General features: G+C 51.7%; 1 protein-coding gene across 25 annotated transcripts in view, besides 5 other annotated features; it reads right to left on the bottom strand.

The window, feature by feature from the left end:
- The window catches only part of SMARCA4 (SWI/SNF related BAF chromatin remodeling complex subunit ATPase 4), a 101,244-nt gene that overhangs the window by 4,358 nt on the left and 74,425 nt on the right, over positions 1-22,461 (bottom strand). For 12 of the 25 annotated variants that reach the window (NM_001128844.3, XM_047439249.1, XM_047439247.1 and 9 more), the window contains one exon: positions 16,356-16,609. In NM_001128844.3, coding sequence (NP_001122316.1) covers positions 16,356-16,609 — 254 coding nt within the window. Of the gene's footprint in view, positions 1-16,355; positions 16,619-18,016; positions 18,216-18,362; positions 18,459-22,461 lie in introns of all 25 variants that reach the window. The other 13 variants (XM_011528198.2, XM_024451658.2, NM_001128849.3 and 10 more) reach the window with 3 other exon arrangements.
- Positions 804-1,303: an enhancer, noted in NCBI's record as "H3K4me1 hESC enhancer chr19:11167289-11167788 (GRCh37/hg19 assembly coordinates)". NCBI's record gives its function as "activates a minimal SCP1, AML or CMV promoter by ChIP-STARR-seq in primed H9 embryonic stem cells {active_cell/tissue: H9 hESC(primed)}" and the evidence as "EXISTENCE:reporter gene assay evidence [ECO:0000049][PMID:30033119]".
- Positions 8,490-8,779: an enhancer, noted in NCBI's record as "active region_14005". NCBI's record gives its function as "activates an Ori minimal core promoter by ATAC-STARR-seq in GM12878 lymphoblastoid cells {active_cell/tissue: GM12878}" and the evidence as "EXISTENCE:reporter gene assay evidence [ECO:0000049][PMID:35858748]".
- Positions 8,870-8,919: an enhancer, noted in NCBI's record as "active region_14004". NCBI's record gives its function as "activates an Ori minimal core promoter by ATAC-STARR-seq in GM12878 lymphoblastoid cells {active_cell/tissue: GM12878}" and the evidence as "EXISTENCE:reporter gene assay evidence [ECO:0000049][PMID:35858748]".
- Positions 11,517-11,566: an enhancer, noted in NCBI's record as "active region_14003". NCBI's record gives its function as "activates an Ori minimal core promoter by ATAC-STARR-seq in GM12878 lymphoblastoid cells {active_cell/tissue: GM12878}" and the evidence as "EXISTENCE:reporter gene assay evidence [ECO:0000049][PMID:35858748]".
- Positions 21,532-21,691: an enhancer, noted in NCBI's record as "active region_14002". NCBI's record gives its function as "activates an Ori minimal core promoter by ATAC-STARR-seq in GM12878 lymphoblastoid cells {active_cell/tissue: GM12878}" and the evidence as "EXISTENCE:reporter gene assay evidence [ECO:0000049][PMID:35858748]".

Raw genomic sequence — 22,461 nt, 5'->3', positions numbered from 1 at the left:
GGTCAGACTGGTCTCAAACTCCCGACCTCAGGTGATCAGCCCGCCTCAGCATCCCAAAGTGCTGGGATTACAGGTGTGAGCCACCATGCCTGGCCTGCACATGTGCTTTCTTGTAGCTTCTGGAACATTTCCCAGAGACAACCACACAAACAGGCCTGTGATACATTTTTTTGTTTTTTGTTTTTTTTGAGACAGAGTCTTGTTCTGTCGCCAGACTGGAGCGCAATGGAATGATCTCGGCTCACTGCAACCTCTGCCTCCTGGGCTCAAGCAATTCTCCTGCCTCAGCCTCCCGAGTAGCTGGGATTACAGATGCCAGCCACCACACCCGGCTAATTTTTGTATTTTTAGTAGAGACAGGGTTTCACCATGTTGGTCAGGATGGTCTCGATCTCTTGACCTCGTGATCTGCCTGCCTTGGCCTCCCGAAGTGCTGGGATTAGAGGCAGAAGCCACTGCAGCCGGCCTGGGATGCATCTGGATCTCTGCTCTGTCCTCACTGGGGACTGATCTAACCCCCTGAACACCACAGGAAGCGCCCTTGTGCACTCGGTACAGCGGCAGTGATGAGATGCTGCCAGGCCTCGTGCACAGCGCTCCCAGCTCTTACCCATACCTGAGCCTGGCTCAGCAGGACAGGGTGGGTGGGGACAGAAGCTCTGAGAGCTGACCTTGCTCTGACAGAACCCAGCCCGCAGGCTGGGAAAATGAGAACGCATGGCAAACGCGCTCTCCTCTCTGCTTTGGCCCAGAGGAAGGGCCTAGCCAGGGAACGGCCCCAAGCAGGGAGCCACCAGGCGGACGAAGCCTAAAAGTGGCCAACGGGGCCTGATGGGAAGGAGGAGCTGAGCTTGGGTCCTGATAACTCCAGCTGCCTCATCAGCACCGCTTCTTTCCTTATGTTCTTTCCCAGAAAATTCCAGAGGGCAGGGCAGCCCGCCCATGCCACTGGCTGGCCCCGCCGTCTGTTTGGGTGTCCTGAGTGCGCCTTGTCTTGCTTCTGTTTACCACGCTGGAAAATGGCAGCGACAACATGGTGGCTTCCCTGGTTCTGTTGCTGGGGTCCTGATGTCACCAAGGGGCAGACGGGCCAGGCTTGCCTCCAGGAAGCTGCTCGTGAGCAGGATCCCGGAAGGCCTCCTGCTTGTTTGGTGTTTGTGTGCATCACGAAGCCCCTGACCCAGCTTCTAACATGAGAGCCTCCTGAGATGCAGACGTTACACACGGGAGCCAGAATCCTGTCCCTGCACCTCCCCTGGCCTTGACAACCGCCATCATCCCCTGCTTGCTGGGCCAGCCACACTTTACACACACTAAACTCTGAAGCAGGCACCAGTGCCAGGCCAGCCGTGCTGAGGAGGAAATTGAGGTGGGAGTGAATCTCCTGGCCTGGACACAGCCCGCCTTGAGCCTCTGCCTTCCAGGAGTGTCCTTCCCCAACGTGTGTTCATGAAGTACATCTCCCCATCTCCTGCCAGGAGGTGTTTTTGGTCCTGGGTGTGGGACCAGCCGGTCCAGCATGGGAGCACATACCCTTCTCAGACTGCATTCCCATCGTGGGCCCTCCCTGGAGGCACAGGCTTCCTTTTTCCTATGAGCGGGCTGGTGGCCGGCTCTGCCACAGGCAACTGTTGGTAAACCCAGTCCACAGGCTCAGAAAATAAGAACACACAGTGGATGCGCTTGCTGCTCGGTGACCCTGGAGAAAGACACGACTCCCCTCTGAGTCGGGAAATGTGTGTCCCATCTGCAGCTCGGGCAGAGCGGGCCTGTACCTCTTCCCTCTCCTAAGCCGGCACATCCTGTTCTCCACTCTACGGAATTTTATAAGCAAAGAGCTCTCCTCTCTCTTCATGATGGCAGCATCCACCCTATACCTGTTACAATAAGGCACAGCAAGAGTTGCGCTTTACACTGTGAAGCAGGACGTGCAGCACAGGCAGGGGCAACAGAAGAACCCCAATGCGATAGTCTCTTCTATGAAAAGCAGCGCGCTTTGCCATTTTCCATTCTATTACATTTTTAAAGATATGGTGGCTCGTGCCTGTAATCCCAGCACTTTGGGAGGCCAACGTGGGAGGATTGCTTGAGCCCAGGAGTTTGAGACCAGCCTGGACAACATGGCAAAACCCCATTTCTATTTGACTGGGGGAAAAAAAAGCCAGTTTTGTGATCCATTCAATGCCCTTAGTGGCCAGCAAACAGTGCAGACTCTTGGCTTGAAACGCCCTGCCCTGTGGCCATGGGGGGCTTACTGCACACTGTGGCCCTTGCCCTGGAGGGCGGCTCCCTATGCAGAGAGCCCAGGAAGTGAGACCCCAGGGCTGTGACAGCAGAAGGCTTTATAATAAGCACCCCACCACCCCAACAGCCACCTCCATCAGGCTAATGAGAAACAGCTACAGGCAGCAAAAAAAAAACAAGGTGCGGCTGGGCGCAGTGGCTCACGCCTGTAACCCCAGAACTTTGGGAGGCTGAGGTGGGTGGATCACGAAGTCCGGAGTTCAAGACCAGCCTGGCCAAGATAGTGATACCCCGTCTCTACTAAAAATACAAAAATGAGCCAGGCGTGGTGACAGGCACCTGCAATCCCAGCTACTCGGGAGGCTGAGGCAGGAGAATCACCTGAACCTGGGTGGCAGAGGTTGCAGTGAGCCGAGATCGCACCACTGCATTCTAGCCTGGGCGACAGAGTGAGACTCTGTCTCAAAAAACAAACAAAAACAAAACACAAAACCAAGGTACAAGAGCACCCCTTCCCAGACCTCTAGGAGAATTACGTTCTGGATGAATCAAGACCACCCAGTTGCCGGTCTGAGGATTCCGCTCTGGTGCAGAGTTCCCTGGAGGTCCTGTCCTCAGGCTTCCCTGCAACAGGCAGGGTGCTGAGAGCCTCCCTCACCTCTATATTAAAGAGGGACATGCTGCAGCCTCCCCGCACTTGGAATGAAACCCGGAGTCCTCTGGATAGGCGCCACCACCTTTGATGTCAGTGCCCCTAGCTCCGCTCCCATGCTCGTGTCAAGGCCTACAAAGGGGAGTCCACCCCCATGGGAATGTGGGCTCTGACCTCATCTCAGGGCAAACATCACCTCCTCTGACCCCCACACACACCCAGCCCACACCTCTTAATAGCTGACTTAACACCAATGCACACATCATGCAGTGGCGTGATCTCGGCTCACTGCAACCTCTGCCTCCAGGGTTCAAGCGATTCTCCTGCCTCAGCCTCCAAGTAGCTGGCATTACAGGTGCACCACCACACCTAGCTAATTTTTGTATTGTTAGTAGAGACGGGTTTCACCATGTTGGTCAGGCTGGTCTCGAACTCCTGACCTCCTGATCCACCCACCTTGGCCTCCCAAAAGTGCTGGGATCACAGGCTGAGCCACCGCACCTGGCCCAATGCACAGATCTTAAGCATGAGGCTAAAGATGCGCTCCTGTCAGTCCTTCCCCCAGGGATGATCCTGGGCCGAGGTTGGCTGCTTCTTCAAGTTGATGATGCAGAAACACACAGGGGAGCCCCCAAACCTGGCCTGGCCTCCTGCCTCCTTGCTGTCCCTGTTGCCGAGTGCAGCAGCAGGTCCCGAGGTGGGCACACACCAGCCATGCCCAGTTCCCGCTGCCGGGCATCTGGGCTGTGCTCAGGGTTGGACACCAGGAAGCAAGTGTCTGTGGACACTCAGGAACAAGTGTTTAGTTTGCAGTTCTCCTAGGAATTTATCTGGGAGAAGATACTCTAGGTCACAGGGTGGGGAAATGCTCTACTTGGGAGATACTGAGCCAGCGTGAGTGGTGCTTGTCCTTGTAGCCATTCTACAATGTGGCCCTAAACACGTTTCCTTGTTGTGCAGAGAAGCCAAGCACTGTTTCACAGGCTCTTCCAAGCAGCGCTTGTTCCCATCTTTGGCCCATTTCCTTCCCTGGGGAGTCCTTTGCTGGATGCACTACTGCAAACACCTGCTGCAGTCTAGGAATTGTCTGTTTCTTTTCTCTCTTTTTACAGACACGATCTTGTTCTGTTGCCCAGGCTAGAGTGCAGTGGTGCCATCCTAGCTCACTGAAGCCTCCAACTCCTGGGCTCATGAGATCCTACTGCTTCAGCCTCCCAAGTAGCTAGGACTACAGGCACACGCCACAACACCTGGCTAATTTAAAAAATATTTTGTAGAGATGGGGTCTCACTAGGTTGCCCAGGCTGGTCTCAAACTCCTGGGCTCAAGGGATCCTCCCACATCAGCCTCCCAAAGCACTGGAATTACAGGTGTGAGTCACTGCGCTCAGCTCAGTGTAAATATTTGAGGCTTGCTGGGCCTGCCTCTGTTGCAACTGCTCAGTTCTGCCACTGTTCCATGAAGGGAACCACAGACAACGCAGAAATCGGTGGGCTTTGGCTGCATTCCAACAAAACTTCATTTATCGACACTGAGATTTGAATTTCTTTCTTTTTTTTTTTTTTTTTGAGACGGAGTCTCACTCTGTCACCCAGGCTGGAGTGCAGTGGTGCAATCTTGGCTTACTGAAACCTCCGCCTCCCGAGTAGCTGGGATTACAGGCACCCACCACCATGCCCGGCTAACTTACGTATTTTGAGTAGAAACAGGGTTTTGCCACGTTGGCCAGGCTGGTCTGGAACTCTTAAATTCCAGCGATTCGCCAGCCTTGGCCTCCCGAAGTGCTGGGATTATAGGCATGAGCCTAGGTTCCGTTTTTTGTAACTCCTGACCTCAGGTGATCCGCCCGCCTCGGCCTCCCAAAGTGCTGGAATTACAGGCGTGAGCCACCGTGCCCAGCCTCCAAGTGCAGTTTTTAAGAAACCCTGATCTCACTCCCCACCAAGAACCCAAGTTTGGAAACCACTTAGTTTGATGCCCTATATCTGGAGGCAAGAACCTGAGCATGGCAAGAGGCAGATGCCAGATGAGAACCCAGGTGTGGCTCCTGTCTCACGTGCCTGTGCTGGCTGCCCCAACACTGCGAGGCGGGGACTGGCCTTTTACACGACGAAATGAGAGCACTGTGACAAAGGGTGTTATACATGGCACCACCCAGAGCATTTCCCAGTGCCAGGGGAAGATGAAAAGGAAAGGCCAGCCCCAGCTCCCCTACGCCGCAGGCAGGTGCAGTCGGTCCTGAGTGCAGGGAGGCCCATGGCCACTGTCTGCAGGGCTGGGGGAGGGCAGCTTGAGGGGCGTTCGCTCTTTTCTGAATTCATCACTACTGGTGTCCCTGTTGTCACCACAGGAGGTCCTGGAATCCTGAGTGGCTCTGAGTCAGAAAATGCCTCAAGTCCTTTCTGAAGAGGCAGAAATCACAGGATCCCGACATTGGGAAGTGAGCAGGCAGGGGCGCCCTCTGGGCTACCAGGAGGAAAGGGTGGGTGTTTGTAGGGGCCGTTGGCTCAGAGAATGTGCTGCTCAGTATGGCCAGGTGGAGGAAGGAGGGTGTGGACCCTCCTTCACACCCCCTGGAGCCCCACATGCCAGCCTCTCTTCCTGCTGCTTTTTGAGACAGGGTCTCACTGTGTCACCCAGGCTTGAGTGCAGCGGTGCCTCCAACTCCTGGGCTCACGTGATTTTCCCGCGTTGGCCTCCCAAGAAGCTGGGACTACAGGTGGATATCACACCTGGTTCACCTTTCTATTCTTTGATCTAGCTATTTCCTGACTTTATTTTAAATCTGCCTATTGTTGATGTTTCACAGTCACTCAATCTTGTCTCCTGACCTTATTTCTTTTTTACTTCCTTTTTTTAAGCTGCTTTGAATCTTCTACTTCATCCCTCCTGTCTATGATCATCTATTTTTATTTATTTATTTTTGAGACGGAGTCTCGCTCTGTTGCCCAGGCTGGAGTGCAGTGGCACAATCTCGGCTCACTGCAACCTCTGCCTCCTGGGTTCAAGCGATTCTCCTGCCTCAGCCTCCCTCGTAACTGGGATTATAGGCAAGTCTCACTACGCTCGGCTAATTTTTGTACTTTTAGTAGAGATGGGTTTCACCATCTTGGTCAGGCTGGTCTTGAACTCCTGACCTCGTGATCCACCCGCCTCAGCCTCCCAAAGTGCTGGGATTACAGGCCTGAGTCACAGCACCCGGCCTCATCTGCTATTTTAATAAACATTTCCGGCCGGACATGGTGGCTCACTCCTGTAATCCCAGCACTTTGGGAGGCCGAGGCTGGCGGATCATGAGGTCAAGAGATCGAGACCATCCTAGCCAACGTGGTTAAACCCCATCTCTACTAAAAATACAAAAATTAGCTGGGCGTGGTGGTGCATGCCTGTAGTCCCAGCTACTCGGGAGGCTGAAACAGGAGAATTGCTTGAACCCAGGAGGCAGAATTTGCAGTGAGCTGAGATCAGGCTACTGCACTCCAGCCTGGCGACAGAGTGAGACTCTGTCTCAAAAAAAAAAAAAAAAAAGGAAATATGTCCCCACTGTGTTCCCTCGGACGACTGCGGCACAGGCTCACTGAAAGGAAGGGCCTCCTCAAGGCAGGGGGCTGCTCCGAGTTCCAAGGGAGGCCAGGGCAGGAGGGAAAGGCACGAGCGGCTCCCCCAGGCCTCCTGCTGCCAACTCCACACACCTGCACCTCTGTCTCTAATTGTCCTGTCCTAAGCTTTCCTTAAACACGCCATTCTAGTTTTCAGACTCATTCTTCTAAACCAGTTGCCTTGTTTATTTGTGTTATGTAAAGGTCTCTATCACTGAGGGGGAGACTTGGGGGTAGGGCCCGACTCACAAACAGAGGAGGGGGAGCTTCTTCCAGCAAATCCTGGGGCAGGCGCAGAACCCCAGCACGGCTCCACAGGGAACCTGACCGCAGGCTGCGTGGGCAACTCCATCCATGACTTTTAGGCCCCCTGAGCCCTCTGCCATGGTTATGTTGGACCCAGTGCCCTGCACCCAGCCTATGCCCATAAGTGGGCATGCCTGGGGCTCATCTGCTCGGTGCCCTCATCCAGCCAGTGCCTGCACAGCACCAGGGTCCAGGCTATGTGCCAAGCAGACCATAGACCTGGAACCACAGGCCAAGGGCCAGACAGCCCTGAGGAGCCCCCCTGTCCCCAAGGAATGGCTCCCACTCCTGCCCACCCTCCACCTGCACCCTTCCCTCAGGGGCCCTGCCCTGGGGGCTTGAAGGAGTGTGACAAACACTTTCAAGCCTTGGGATGACCTCTCCTGCAGAATGTTTCAGGCAGGTCTGAAACATTCAGACAATCTGTTTCATTGTTTTTCTTGCACAAGGTATAACCACTCAACTCTGAAGAGCCAGGAGGGACAGTGCTTGTGGAAAGGCAGGGAAACAGTGCAGACAGGCCTTCAGCAGTAGCAGCCAGCCCCTGCCAGACCCAGGCCAAAGCTGTCACCACGAATTGGCAAGGCAGCAGCTCAGGCCCTGGGCTAGGGACCATCGTCCCCTCCCACAGTGCACACAGTGCTGGCGTCTGGGCTGTGTGCCTGGCCACGTTATTTCAGTCAGGCCCCTGTGCTGCAGACGTGGAGACTGAGGCACAGAGACAGGTGTGGAGTGCAGATCTTCACTGCATTCAGGTCCCTCCTACAGTAACCACAGGGCTGCTGCCTCCAGGCAGTGGGGAGTGGGAATGGAACCCAGAGGGCCCGCCTGGTGGGGCCAGAGCTCTTGTGAGGCTTAGCTGCGGCAGCCTGGACCCGTCACCGTCTTTCCGAGCTGCCCGAGCATAGTCTGCAGCCATTGTGCCCCTCTAGCCCTGAAGCTGTGCACGTGTCTCCTGACCTCAGCACAAGCATCAAGTTCAAGTTCAACACCACCGTCTAGCACAGTCTTTTTTTTTGAGACGTAGTCTCACTGTCACCCAGGCTGGAGTGCAGTGGTGCAATCTTGGCTCACCGAAACCTCCTCCTGGGTTCAAGCGATTCTCCTGCCTCAGCCTCCCAAGTAGCTGGGATTACAGGCGAGTGCCACCATGCCTGGCTAATTTTTGTATTTTAATAGAGACGGGGTTTTTGCCACGTTGGCCAAGCTGTTCTCAAACTTCTGAGCTCAAGTGATCAGCCCGGCTTGGCCTCCCAAAGTGCTGGGATTACAGATGTGAGCGCCTGCGCCTGGCCCGCATGGTCTTTATTGTAGCAGCATCTCTGCCCTATCACTGTCGCAGGCAGGCTGGTGGCTGGCGGGGTGGTCTTTAGCAGGCTGCTGGCTGAGCCCACATGGACCAGCAGATGCCCTTCTCTGAGCCCTTACCAAGCACACCAAGGGTGTGCCCCCTGACACACATGCGGCCTTGACACTTGGACACAGTGCCCCAAATGCCTCAGCCACCAGCTGCTGACTGCTATAAAGAACCCAGGGAGGGAGGCAGAGGTTGCAGTGAGCCAAGACTGTGCCACTGCACTCCAGCCTGGGCTACAGAGCAAGACTCTGTCTCAAAAAAAAAAAAAAAAACACAGAACCCAGGGAAGAAGGTATCAACTGGCAGTGTACAGCCCCACAAGCCCGAACCTGACCCGAAGCCACAGAGAACGTTTCTGCATGTTCTGATTTTAAAGTAAAATCTCCTACATGTAACTTAATTTCTTAATTCTGGTTTCGATTTCTGGCAGGTTCCTCAATGTGGTTTGAGATTTCAAACCACCAAGGAGAAACGCCCTTGGCTAAGGGCAGGTGTGTGGCCCAGGGCCCCTGTGAGGCCCCTGGTGCTGGCGCAGCCCCACTCAAGCCCCTAGCCTCCCTCCAGCCTCTGCATGCACTGTGTCCTCTCTGCCTGGGACACTTGTCCCTCTCCTCCCAGTGGACACTGCTCACACTTCCTGTTCTGCTTACGTGGCCCTTCCCACTGGAGCCACCACAAGCCCCTGGACAGCAGAAGCCAGCACTGCCGGCATGGTACCACAGAACACTCCAGCCTGTTCCTACTGTGGCCCCTGAGCAGGAGGGGCATGTCACTGCACTCTGTGTATACAATGTAAAGGACCGTGGCTGTGACAGCTGGCAGTGCCACACTCCAGGGCCTTGGGAGGAGCGGCCTCATGGCTGTGAATCTGAGTGCAGAAGAACAGAGTATAAGATTCCCAGGCAAGACAACTGTACACGTATGATGAGGTCAACACAGAGGTCACGTCAAACACAATTCTGCCAGAATAAAACACGAACTAGGGGGCTGCAAGTATCTCCAACGATCAAAAGCAATATTTGAAAAGATTCCACCTGACAGGAAGGGCGTCCCTGCCTCTCCAAAAGGGTCTGGCCCCAACACAGCAGCGGGTGCCCAGCTAAACCACTTCTGTCCTCAGGTGTCGCCACCTAGACGGACCATGTGGCTCCCACCTGCAGTCATGGGCACACTCTCCAGCTCGGCGAGGCAGGCTCCTGACACCGAATCCAGAGGACAACGTCCCGTGTTCACTCTTTGAATTGTTAGAACTCAGGTCTACACAGATGCCAGTCTCTTTTCAGGCTTCACATTTAACTCAATTGCAGAGCTGAACTACTTAGAGGGTTCTGGAGAGCCAACTAAAAAACAAAAATTCCGGCCAGGCATGATGGTGGTGTGCACCTGTAATCCCAGCTACTTGGGAGGCTGAGGCAGGAGAATCACTTCAACCTGGAAGGTGGAGGTTGCAGGGAGCCGAGATTGTGCCATGGCACTCCAGCCTGGGTGACAGAGTGAGACTCTGCCTCAAAAAATAAATAAAAAAAAAAATCCAATTAAACAAAAAGAAGTTTTTTTTCTTTTCTTGGAAAGGAGCAATTCAAAGTTGGAGACAAAAAAGTGAGCTGTTAGCTGTGTCTGACTTTATTCCATTCAAGCTCTTCTCAGCCTGGTGCAGCTGTGTGGGGCCAAGGAAGGGCCGAGTGACATGAGCACCACCTGCCATGCAGTCGGTGGCGAGGAAGCTTCCAGGGATCTGACAGATGTGTCATACAGAATGTAACTTCTAGACAATGATGGGCAAATAATAATAATAATAAAAAAGAATGTAACTTCGCCCCAAATGAGGTCTGGCTTTTGCCTGGGGCTCCTGGGAGGTGATCTCTGAGTCCTTAGAATGTCACACCTAATGGCTGTCTTTGTTTACGTGGGGTCTGGGACCAGTCCTAGGTTGGGGCTTTGGGCTATGTAGTTTCTGCTCACCTGCAGAGGGGCTGGAGATGGAGGTCAGCCACGTGGGTAGCCAGCTGTGTCTTTGTGACCAAGTCCCAGTAAAAATGCTGGACACAGGGTGGGTACGGTGGCTCATGCCTGTAATCCCAACACTTCGGGAGGCTGAGGCGGGCGGATCACTTAAGGTCGGGAGTTCGAGACCAGCCTGGCCAACATGGTGAAACCCCATCTCTACTAAAAAATACAAAAATTAGCCAGGCGTGGTGGCGCGAGCCTGTAATCCCAGTTGCTCAGGAGGCTGAGGCAGAAGAATCACTTCAACCCAGGAGGCAGAGGTTACAGTGAGCCAAGATAGTGCCACTGCACTCCAGCCTGAGTGACAGAGTGAGACTGCATCTCCAAAAAAAAAAAAAAACCTCTGGACACGGAGGCTTCTCTGGTTGGCAGTGCTCTGTGTCAACGTCACCGGGAACATCAGCGCTGTCTTCAACTCCACAGGGAGGAGACAAAGGAAAGCCCTGTGTCTGGAACCGTCCAGATCACCTCAAGTGATCCGCCCACCTTGGCCCCCAAGAGGCCCCATACATCTCTTGCCTTGGTTGATTTTAATCTGTAGCCTTGCACTGTAATAAATCATAACTGCAAGCGTAACAACCGCTAGGGCTCTCGGGGTCCTAGAGAATGACGGCACTTGAGGGTGATCTTGTGGACTTTTCCCACCCTGTGGACCCTGAGTTTGTCTTCCCTCACAGCTTCAAATTTAGTTAAGAATATCAGAAATATCCATTAAGTACACCAATTTTGTACCCAAACATCATGTTTGAAATTATTGCTAAATGGAGGCAGCTTTTCTTTTGCTTTTTTTTTTTTTTTTTTTGCAACAGGGTCTCACCTCTGTCACCCATGGTGGAGTGCAGTGATGTGATTATACCCCACTGCGGCCTTGACTTCTTGTGGTCCTTCTGCCTCAGCTTCCTGAATAGCTGAGTCAACAGGAGTGCACCACCACGCCTGGCTAATTTTTGTATTTTTTGCATAGGCGGGGTCTCCCTGTTTTGCTCAGGTTGGTCTCGTACTCTTGGTCTCAAGGGATCCACAAGCCTCACAGCCTTACAAAGTTCTGGGATTACAGGCGTGACCACTACGCCCAGCTGAGGTAGCTTTTCAACGACTATCTTTCCTGAGTTGATGTGCCCTATGTGATGTTTTCCTGTGCAAATCACATTACAGTGAGTGGACAGACCCACGCCTGCTGTGCTTCCAGCACTCAGGAGGCTTTCTTTAATAGTCATCTTTGTTGTCCTACTTGTAATTCCAACGTAGTTACTCCCAGTCCAATGGGCGACCCCCAGGTCTGTGAATCCATCCATTCCAGTAAGATGTGAGGTTAAATTGAAAACACAGATCAAATCCCCCACTGAGGCATCCTCCCACATGGATCCCAGGTAAGACAGGAGCATTGCTGTGTGACTGAAATGTTGGTGTCCTCTTCAAAGCAGGTCTCAAAATCTCTACCAGAATCAAATGTCCCGAAACAGAACAGTTTCGATAAAGCAGTCACTTAGCAGTAAGAGTTAAGATTTGGGGTTTTTTTTTTTTTTTTGAGACGGAGTCTCGCTCTGTCGCCCAGGCTGGAGTGCAGTGGCACAATCTCGGCTCACTGCAAGCTCTGCCTCCCGGGTTCACGCCATTCTCCTGCCTCAGCCTCTCGAGTATCTGGGACTACAGGCGCCCGCCACCACGCCTGGCTAATTTTTTGTATTTTTAGTAGAGACGGGGTTTCACTGTGTTAGCCAGCATGGTCTTGATCTCCTGGCCTTGTGATCCGCTCGCCTCAGCCTCCCAAAGTGCTGGGATTACAGGCGTGAGCCACCACACCCAGACTTTTTTTTTCTTCTTTTTTTTAAATAGAGACAGAGTCTCACTATGTTGGCCAGGCTCATCTGAACTCCTGGGCTCAAGTGATCCTCCGCCTCGGCCTCCCAAAGTGCTGGGATTATGGGCGTGAGCCACTGTGCCCAGCCGAAAGTTTTAATTTATTGTATGATTTATCATCAAATCTTACAAAGGCTACAAGACTGACTGTAGCAGCTGGGTGAGCCATTCCCTCTTTTGTCAGATGATATACAACTAAATATGACCCTAAGAGGGCTCTGTGAGTCTAAAACTAAAAAAAAAAAAAAGTGGACTAACACTAGACATACTTTTTGTCTGAAAATATTCAGGTTCTTAATAAGCTGAGCATGCTGTTTCTGTCTTTTCAAAAACCAAGGTGTAATGGAATACAGAGAAGTGTACATATCTCATGTGTACACCTTGGTGAATGTACACATCATATACACATCCAGATCTATAGAGAGAATATCCCCAGTATCCTAGAAGGCTCGTCGTGTGGCTTTCCTGCTATTCCCTCTCTCAAGGTAAGCACTGCTTGGCAGCCATTACTGTGGATCAGCTTCTGACCCTCACAGAACTGGAGGCACACAGTAGGCCCTCTTTTTTTTTTTAGACGGAGTCCCGCTCTGTCGCCCAGGCTGGAGTGCCGTGGCGCGGTCTCGGCTCACTGCAAGCTCCGCCTCCTGGGTTCATGCCATTCTCCCGCCTCAGCCTCCCGAGTAGCTGGGACTACAGGCGCCCACCACCACACCCGGCTAATTTTTTGTATTTTTAGTAGAGACGGTGTTTCACCATGTTAGCCAGGATGGTCTCAATCTCCTGACCTCGTGATCCGCCCGCCTCGGCCTCCCAAAGTGCTGGGATTACAGGCGTGAGCCACCGTGCCCGGCCAGTATGCCCTTTTTAGTGTCTGGCTTCTTTCACTCAACAAAATGTAAGCTTCTTCCAGGTAGCAGTACTATGTCTGTTTTCACAGCTGTTTGGGGCCCTGTACGATTAGGCCTCCACTGATCCATGCCCCTGTAGATGGACACTGGGCTGATTCTTGTTTTGGGAGATTATGACCAAAGTGGCTATGGACACGTCTGTCGGTGTGGACAGATGCACTCAGCTCTCCTGGGTAGAACGAGGGCTGCAGGCTGCTGGGTCAGAGGGTATGTACAGGCTGAGCCTCAGAAAATATTATCTTCTGCAGTTCGATGGTTAAAAACAAACAAAGCAAAACAGAAGAGATTGCCAAAGAGCTGCATACTCCTACACGCAGGGTGTGAGGCCAGACTGCTTCAGACTTGCCAGCACTGATGGGCATTCGGCCGTTCTGGGGCGGGTGCTGGTGCAAGTCACTCTGGTTTTAACGAGCATTTTCTTGAAGTTGTGATGCTAATGCAATGACGTGAGCACCTTTCCCCACATTGATTAGTCCTGGGATGTCCTGTGTAAGGAGGCGTCTGTTCCCGGCTCTTGTCCAGCTTTAAATTGTGTTGTCTTTTCCTCATCTATGAGGAGTTTTCACTGTCTCCATCAGCGTGTCCATTAATAAACAGATGTTATTAATTTCAGTGAGGTCTAATTTCTCAATTGTTTGTGATTAGTGGCTTTTGGCTCCCGTGGAAGAAATCGATGCCTACTCATGAAGATTTTCTCCCGTGCTTTCTTCTAGAATTTTGTTTTACCTTTCACGTTCTTACATCCACAGTCCATGTCACGTGGATCCAAGTGCATGGTGTGTGCGTGTGTGGGGGTGGTCGAGGCTCATCCTCTCTACGTGGATACCCAGGAGACCAGTGTGATGGAGACACCCGTGCTTTCCCCACTGCGCTTCAAGGGTCTTCTTTAGGTTGGTAATGTTAAGTTTCCCTCACAAGATTATCATTAGAAATAAAACATGGGGAGGGTCTGTCATTGTCATTAGATTTCTGCGAATTCCCTTTTTTTGTTTTTGTTTTTTGTTTTTCAGGTATTGTCTCACTCTGTCACCCAGGCTGGAGTGCAGTGGTGCAATCTTGGCTCACTGCACCCTCTGCCTTCTGGGTTCAAGCGATTCTCGTGCCCAGCCTCCCGAGCTGGGAGCTCAAGCACGCATCACCATGCCAGTTTAATTTCTATTTTTGTATTTTTTGTAGAGATGGGGTTTTGCCATGTTGGCCAGACTGGTCTCAAACTCCTAACTTCAAGTGATCCGCCCACCTCAGCCTCCCAAAGTGCTGGGATTACACGAGCCACTATACCTGGCCCATGTTTTAAATAAGTATTCTGTATTTATTTCATTTTTTTAAGATACAGGGTCTCATTCCATCACCCAGGATGGAGTGCAGCTGTGTGATCATGGCTCACTGTAGCCTGGACCTGCTGTGCTCAAGTGATCCTCCCACCTCAGCCTCCCAAGTAGTGGGGACCCCAGGCATGTGCTACTGCCCGCAGCTGTATCCCGCACTTTAAGTAACTTAAGTCCTCCACTTGCTTTCCTCTTTGAGGACTTAGCCTTGGAGTTAGGTTTGTGAATTAGAGTCTATATATTTTTTTCTCAATACTGACAACACATGACATTTTCAGATCTGGCATTGAACTTGAATATGTCTCCTTTCCTTCATCATCTGTTTCTCTTCCAATAATAAAAGAACCTTTCTTTTTTTCTCTTTTTGAGACGGAGTCTCACTCTGTCCCCCAGGCTGGAGTGCACTGATGTGATCTTGGGTCACTGCAACCTCCGCCTCCCAGCTTCAAGATTCTCCTACCTCAGCCTCCCGAGTAGCTGGGATTACAGGCATGCACCACTACGCTCGGCGAATTTTTGTAGTTTTAGTAGAGAGGGGGTTTCGCCATATTGGCCATGCTGGTTTCAAACTCCTGACCTCAAGTGATCCGCCCGCCTTGGCCTCCTAAAGTGCTGGGATTACAGGCATGAGCCACCGCATCTGGCTAAAAGAACCTTTTTAAGCAGTATTTTGTTTTTGGAGTGGGCGTCTTGCTCTGTCACCCAAGGCTGGAGTGCAGTGGTGCAATCTTGGTCCACAGCAACCTCCACTTCCTGGGTTCAAGTGATTCTCCTGTCTCAGCCTCCCAAAAAGCGTGCCACCACGCCCAGGTAATTGTTTTCCTATTTTCAGTAAAGATGGGTTTTCACCATGTTGTCCATGCTGGTCTCAAACTCCTGACCTCAAGTGATCCTCCCACCTCAGCCTCTCAAAGTGCTGGGCTGACAGGTGTGGACCACCACAGCTGGCCTTGCGCGGTAATTTTGACTCATTAATTTAGGCACTCCAATTGTTACCATCCTCTAAAACTTCACACTTGGTAAGATTCTCTCCAAACCATGCATGTGGGCTCCCTTCACTTTCCCCTCCAACAGATACAATTCCCCCACGCTCTGCTTCATGACTAACAGCAAACTGTTATTTAAAATCAAACAGTACAACCCTCCCATTACGGGGACAGCCGTACTGGCCAGTGTGTACCAGGAAGTGAAATAAGACCTTGGAGAGTGGAAGACTGGGTGAGTCCTGGGCCAGGCATGGGCCTTACACCTTTGCTGGCTCCTGCCCAGCTCTGTGACCTGCCCTGGGCTGGCAGAAGGTGCACATGCCTCCCTGGGGAGTTGCTGAGAACATTCCTTTCTTCTTATTTAAATGGTACCCATATAGAGTCGCTCACGGAAAAGGATATTAGTAAATGAAAAACATATAAATGGCACTCATGATCCACCAACACGTTATGATCCGCCGCTGGGCCGTGGCCACAGCTGGAACCGCATGCTGCCTCGTATATAGGACATGTCTGTGAGGACAGCGATCTCCAGGCTTGGAGCAGGGCCTGGCAGAGAGCAGGAGTGTGGCCACCATCTCACCAACACAGAGATGGCACAGGTAGCCTGGGAGGGTGCAAGGACAGGAGAGGGCTGCCACTTTCTCTGCTCCAGACATGCCAGCCTCTTGTCCCCAACCTCCTGGCCACACGGGCAGCACCCATTACTGCCATATAACCCCTCATCCCACCTCATCCCTTGAGGCCACCAGGCCACAACTTTGGCAGAGCCTCTCCGCCTGCTGTGGCCTCTGCTGGTGCACTCTCCCCAACCTCCCCTCTCTCAAGGCTCTGCTGCAATGTCCCCTTCTCCGAGACCCGCACCCCTGCCTCTCCTCTCGACCACATGTGACATTCCCTCTCATCACCGCAGATACATGTGTGCTTCCCTGTTCCAGAAAGCATGTTCCTCAGGGCCAGGCTCAAAGACACAGAGATTCAGTCAGTGTTTGTGGATGAGTGAAAGAGTGAGCGGCCCAAGCCTGAGTGTGCAGAGTCAGAGTGCAGATGCCAGGCCTGCTCCCACGGGGACCCCTACAGCCCCCGCCCTCCCCGCCTCCTCGCTTACCTGTCCTTGTACTTGATCACGGCATCCACAATCTTCTTCATCTTCTTGGTGAGGTTGGGTGGGTTAGGGGAGAGTTTCTCGGCAGGCGGCCGCCCGCGCTTCTTCTGCTTCTTGCTCTCGTCGTCCTTGTCGCGGCTGCGGGTGCTGGTGGTCGGGGTGGAGGAGCCGGCGTCGCTGTCTCGCTTGCGCTTCCGTGATGATTTCTTCTGCCGGACCTCCTCTTCGATCTCCTCCAGCGTGCCCTCCTCGATGGCCTTCAGGGTCAATAGTAGTAAAATAGGACAGCCAGCACCCAGGTCGACAAGCAGAGGCCGCGACGCAATCCCAGGGGCCGGGCTGGGACACGGAGGAGGGCCCCCGCACCCGCTCTCCCTTCAGCTTGACTGGCTCGGGGCATAACACACACTGGGACTCTCAAGGGGTGCCTGGGCTGCAGTGAAAGACCAGCACTGCCCCCAGCAGGCACCCCACCCAAGCTTGTCTTTAAAAAACTAATGGTTGAATTTCTTGACCAAAAAAAAAGAACTATCTTCTCTGTACAGAAAAGAACGTGCTCCTGAAATCCCTTCACCCGGAGGTGATGTTGACACCTCTGTTCCACACTCTCCCCATCTATTTCTTTTATTTACTTATTTATTTTTAGAGACAGGGTCTCGACCTGTTGCCCAGGCTGGAGTGCAGTGGCACCATCATAGCTCACTGCAGTCTTGAACTCCCAGGGCTCAAGAGATCCTCCCACCTCAGCCTCCTAAGTAGCTGGGACTACAGGCACGTGTCACCACACTCAGCTAATTAAAAAAATTTTTTGTAGATACGGGGTCTCATAATATTGCCCAGGCTGGTCTTGAACTCCTGGTCTCAAGCAGTGCTCCCATCTTAGCCTCCCAAAGTGCTAGGATTACAGATATAAGCCACTGGGCCTGGCCTCCATCTATTTCTTCTTTTTAAGATTTTTTTTTTTTTTTTTTTGGAGACGGAGTCTCACTCTGTCACCAGGCTGGAGTGCAGTGGCATGATCTTGGCTCACTGCAACCTCCGCCTCCTGGGTTCAAGCAACTCTCCTGCCTCAGCCTCCTGAGTAGCTGGGATTACAGGCGCAAACCACCACGCCTAGCTAATTTTTGTATTTTTAGTAGAGACAGGGTTTCACCATGTTGGTCAGGATGGTCTCAAACTCTTGACCTTGTGATCTGCCCGCCTCGGCCTCCCAAAGTGCTGGGATTACAGGTGTGAGCCACCACACCCGGCCTTTTTAAGACATTTTAAAAATTATTTTTATATTTTTGAGACGGAGTTTCGCTCTTGTCACCGAGGTTGGAGTGCAGTGGTGCAATCTCGGCTCACTGCAACCTCCGCCTCCTGGGTTCAAGCAATTCTCCTGCTTCAGCCTCCCAAGTACCTGGGATTACAGGTACGTGCCACCACACCTGGCTAATTTTTGTATGAAAAATTATTTTTAAATTTTCTTTTTTGTTGTTGTTGAGACGCAGTCTCGCTCTGTCACCAGGCTGGAGTGCAGTGGTGCAATCTCAGCTCACTGCAACCTCCACCTTCCTGGTTCAAGCGATTCTCCTCCCTCACCCTCCTGAGTAGCTGGGACTACAGGCGCCCACCACCACGTCCAGCTAATTTTGGTATTTTTAGTAGAGACAGGGTTTTACCATGTTGGCCAGGATGGTCTTAATCTCTTAACCTCGTGATCCACCCATGTCGGCCTCTCAAAGTGCTGGGATTACAGGCGTGAGCCACCGCGCCCAGCCGATTTTTAAATTTTCTTAGACATGTGGTCTTGCTACATTGCCCTGGTTGGACTTTAACTCCTGGGCTCAAGTGATCTTCCCATCTTAGCCTCCTGAGTAGCTGGGCATTTAAAAAAATATATTATAAATCATATATAACATAAAATTTACCAAAGCAGCCATGTTTTAGTACACAGTTCAGGGGCATTAGGCACGTCCCCAGTGTTGTGCAGCCCTCAGCGCCACCCACCACCAGAACTCTCCCCACCTTTGACGCACGTGTGCAGAACTGAAGGCCACGCTGGAATTGTAGCCCACGTGCCACACTGCTGGCTGTGTCATGGATATCTTTTCCTGTAATTTTCTACAACAAAATTTTTTAATGTCTGTTTAGTGTTTCAGTGCACAACGTGCCCTAATTTAGCCTCCCCTTGTTCTTGGGCATTTAGGTCATTTCCCTTTTTTTCAGAGACAGGGTCTCATTCTGTCGCCCAGGCTGGAGTGCAGTGGTGCGATCTTGGCTCACTACAAACTCCAACTCCTAGGTTCCAGTGATTCTCCTGACTCAGCCTCCCAAGTAGCTGGGATGACAGGTGCCCACCACCATGCCTGGCTAATTTTTGTATTTTTAGTAGAAACGGGTTTTTGCCATGTTGGCCAGGCTGGTCTTGAGCTCCTGACCTCAGGTGATCTGCCCACCTCGGCCTCCCAAAGTGCTTGGGATTACAGGCATGTGTCACTGTGCCTGGCATTTTTTTTTTTAATAGAGACAAAGGTCTTGCTATTTTGGCCAGACTGGTCTCAAACTCCTGAGCTGAAATGATCCCCCCGCTTTGGCTTCTCCAAGTGCTGGGATTACAGGCACAAGCTGCCAGGTCTGACCACCTTTTTTTATTGTTGTTGCTATTTTAAATAACGCTATTGACAACTGACATTGTTTAAGACAGATTCCTCATGGTAAAACTGCTGAGAAGAACATGAATATGAACAATATTAAGAGAATCCCCAGGTATTAATTTTCAATGGTACTAATAACTTATCCCAATGGTAAAAAATGCAGCCGGGGAGCCAGGTGTCCAGGGAATCTGAGGCTGTGCCAGTGAGCTGGGCACTGTGCCTGGCGCTGAGGACAGAGCTGTGACTTGAACCAGCCAGGGCCCTTTCCCCTACCCTTGGAAGGAAGATGGTGATCAGACAGCAACACCCCACAAGTGGGGTAACAAACGTGTCAGGTGCCAGGAAGGAGGGAAGAGAGAGACACCAGAATGATGGAGCAGACATGTCTTAGAGAAGATGGGAAGCTGAGAGCCTGAGGGGCCCAGGAGGATGGAAGGCAACCGGGTCAAAGAAGCAGCATGGAGGGCACAGCAGGCAGGAGGCACCAGGAGAAGGCCCCCTGCAGACCCAGGGCGGAGCGGCGGGTGCCCCCCAGACTCATGTCTACCTGGAACCTCGGAATGGGACCTTCTTTGCAAATGAGGTCTTTACTTTTGGGATTAAGTTTTAAAAATTGTTCTTAAAAGACACAGAAGGGGACACAGAGGAGAAGTCCCCATGAAGACAGAGGCAGAGATGGGGTGACGCTGCCCCAAGCCAGGAGGCTTCTGGAACCATCAGAAGCTGGAAAAGCCAAGGAAGGGTCCTCTCCTAGGGCCTCGAAAGGAACACAGCCCTGCCCACACCGTGGGTTCAGACTTCTGGCCCAGAATGCAGAGAAAATAGTTCTGTTGCTTTAGGCTGCCACAGTCATGGCCATGTCCGATGGCGGCCATAGGAGCATTTTGAAGGCTTTGAGTTCACTTGGCAACAGATGGCTGCCAGAAAAGTGGTGCCAATTCCACAGCCAACAGTAGTGGGGAGACAGTGTTTTGTATAATATTTTTCACAACTGTGAATTTGAATATACTGTGTAATAAGATGGGCTCAATGGGAAAAAATAGTCTCTTCAACAAATGCTGCTGGGACAACTGGATTTCCAGTTGGATGGATGAAGATGGACCCCTACCTCACATCATGTATAAAATTTAACTCAAAATGGATCTTACATGGATCTACATGGAAGAGATCAAATTATAACCCTCCTAGGAGAAAAGACAGGGGCAAGTCTTCGTGACCTTGGATAGGCGATGGTTTCTCAGATACAACACCAAGGCACAGGTGAAAAAGAAAAATCGACTGTAAGTACAATGAAACACTTCTGTGCTTCAACGGATATCACGGAAGCGAAAAGAGAATGTGCAGAATGGAACAAAATATTTACAAATGATATCTGATAAGGCACTTGTAAATAACTTACAATTCAATATTAAGATAAATATATTTTAAATTTGGGTAAAGGATGATGTGACTAGACATCTCTTTCTAGAGGATACACAAAGGGCCAAGAAGCATATGAACAGATACTCCACACCATTAGCCATCAGGGAAATGCAAATCCAACCACACTCAGATGGCACTTCATACGTGCTGGGATGGCTAGAATCAGCGGGCGAGGGAACAGCAAGGGTTGCTGAGGATGTAGAGAAAGAGGAATTCTCATACACAGCTGGTGGAACTGTGAACTGGCGTAGCCACCAAGGAAACCAGGCTGGGGTCCCTCAAAAGGTTAAATAGAGAACTAACATTGTTCCGGCAACTCTACGCCTAGGCACATATTAAAGAGAAATCAGATATTAAAGAGAAATCACATATTAAAGAGAAACGCGTGCACGCAAAAACGTGTACGTGAATGTTCACGGTAGTATTGTTTGTAATAGCCCGAAAGTGGATACAACCCAAGTGTCCATCAAGAATGGACAGAAAAACCGAATGTGACAAATCTGTACGAGGCAGGATTATTTCACCATCAAAGAATGCAACACACCTGCTGCATCATGGGTCAGCATGTTACATTGCGTGAAAAAAGCCTGACACCAAAGCATCCCACGCTGTAGGACTCCACTGACAGGAAACGCCCAGAACAGGTAAAACTATATGGACAGAAAGTACATCAGTGGTTGCCTGGGGCTGGGGAGAATCCATGAATTACCAGGAATGGCAAATCGGGGCAGGGCTTCTTTTGGGGGCGATGAGAATGTTCTAAAATGGACTGTGGTGAGAGATGCACAACTCTTGGATACACTGAAGATGATTGTATCATATACCCCAAAAGGGTGAACTGTATGGTATGTAAATTACACCTAGAAAAAAATGTACATAGAGCAGCCACGTATGAACTGATCTTAAATTTAAAAGGTACTCACTGCCTCAAATATGCAGGGCTGAGCTGGGCACCGTGGCTCATGCTCGTAATCCCAGCTACTCTGCAGGCCGAGGCGGGTGGATTGTTTGAGCCCAGGAGTTTGAGACCAGCCTGAGTGACACAGTGAGACCCCCACTTTACAAAAAATTTAAAATTAGCCAGGCGTGTTGGTGTGTACCTGTAGTCTGAACTACTCAGGAGGCTGAGGTGTGAGGATCACTTGAGCCCCCAGGAACTGGAGGCCAGCCTGGGTAACACAGCAAGACTTTGTCTTTATTAAAAAAGAAAAAAATGCAGGGCCGGTGACACTCATACAGCAGCCAAACAGCTCTGCTGTCACACAGGTCTGTGGCAGGGCTCACACTGTCTTTTCAGGGTTTCTCTTCTGGGTCCTGGAGCGCTGTGCTTGGGAGGCTGGCTGGGGAACAGGATGGCCTGTCTGTCACCTGGGCTCCTGGTGTGTTTCAACAGCGCCCTCTGGTGCACAGCTTGGCAGGCAAGCTCATGAGTCTGGGCTGCTGAGGTCCCAGGAGGGAACCGGGGCTGTTTGGCCACATGGGCTAGGCCACATGGCTCTTTCCTGGGTGTGGCACTTTGCATGGCATAGCCAAAAGCTGCCACCTGCCTTCTCGGAATTATTGCTTCAGGACATTTTTATGACACAACTTCAGGGATGGATTCTGAATCATCGTCTCTATAACTCAGAGCCCCTGAGCTGGGAAGGGGTCTGATCTGTCACCGTAACCCCAGTGAGGACATCAGTGCCAGGCATCTGTCACAGTGTGCCTTGGGCTGGGAAAGTTGGGTCGGGTGAAGCCCCAGGAGCACCGCACGACTGACTCAAAGACATCTGCAGCTGCTGTTGCAGGGCCAGCTGCCATCTGCTGAGAACGGGCCCTCACGTCAGCTCCACAAGCAACTGCCAGCCCCGTGCAGCACCTGCCAGGTTCAGAGGCCCTTGGGGGCTTGCCCTCTCCTCCCTCCCCATGACTGAGTCTCCCCAGCTCATGGGGGGGGACTTGCCCAAAGTGAGGCTGCCTGCAGCCAGCAGTGCAACGCTTTGCAGGGCGCCTCAATAGTCCATGATTCACCCTTGTGCCTCCCTCCTGGCAGGTACTGGGAAAGC

This window comes from Homo sapiens, chromosome 19 (assembly GCF_000001405.40).
Source record: "Homo sapiens chromosome 19, GRCh38.p14 Primary Assembly".
Classification (NCBI taxonomy): Eukaryota; Metazoa; Chordata; class Mammalia; order Primates; family Hominidae; genus Homo; species Homo sapiens.
This window is presented reverse-complemented; position numbering and strand designations above follow the sequence as displayed.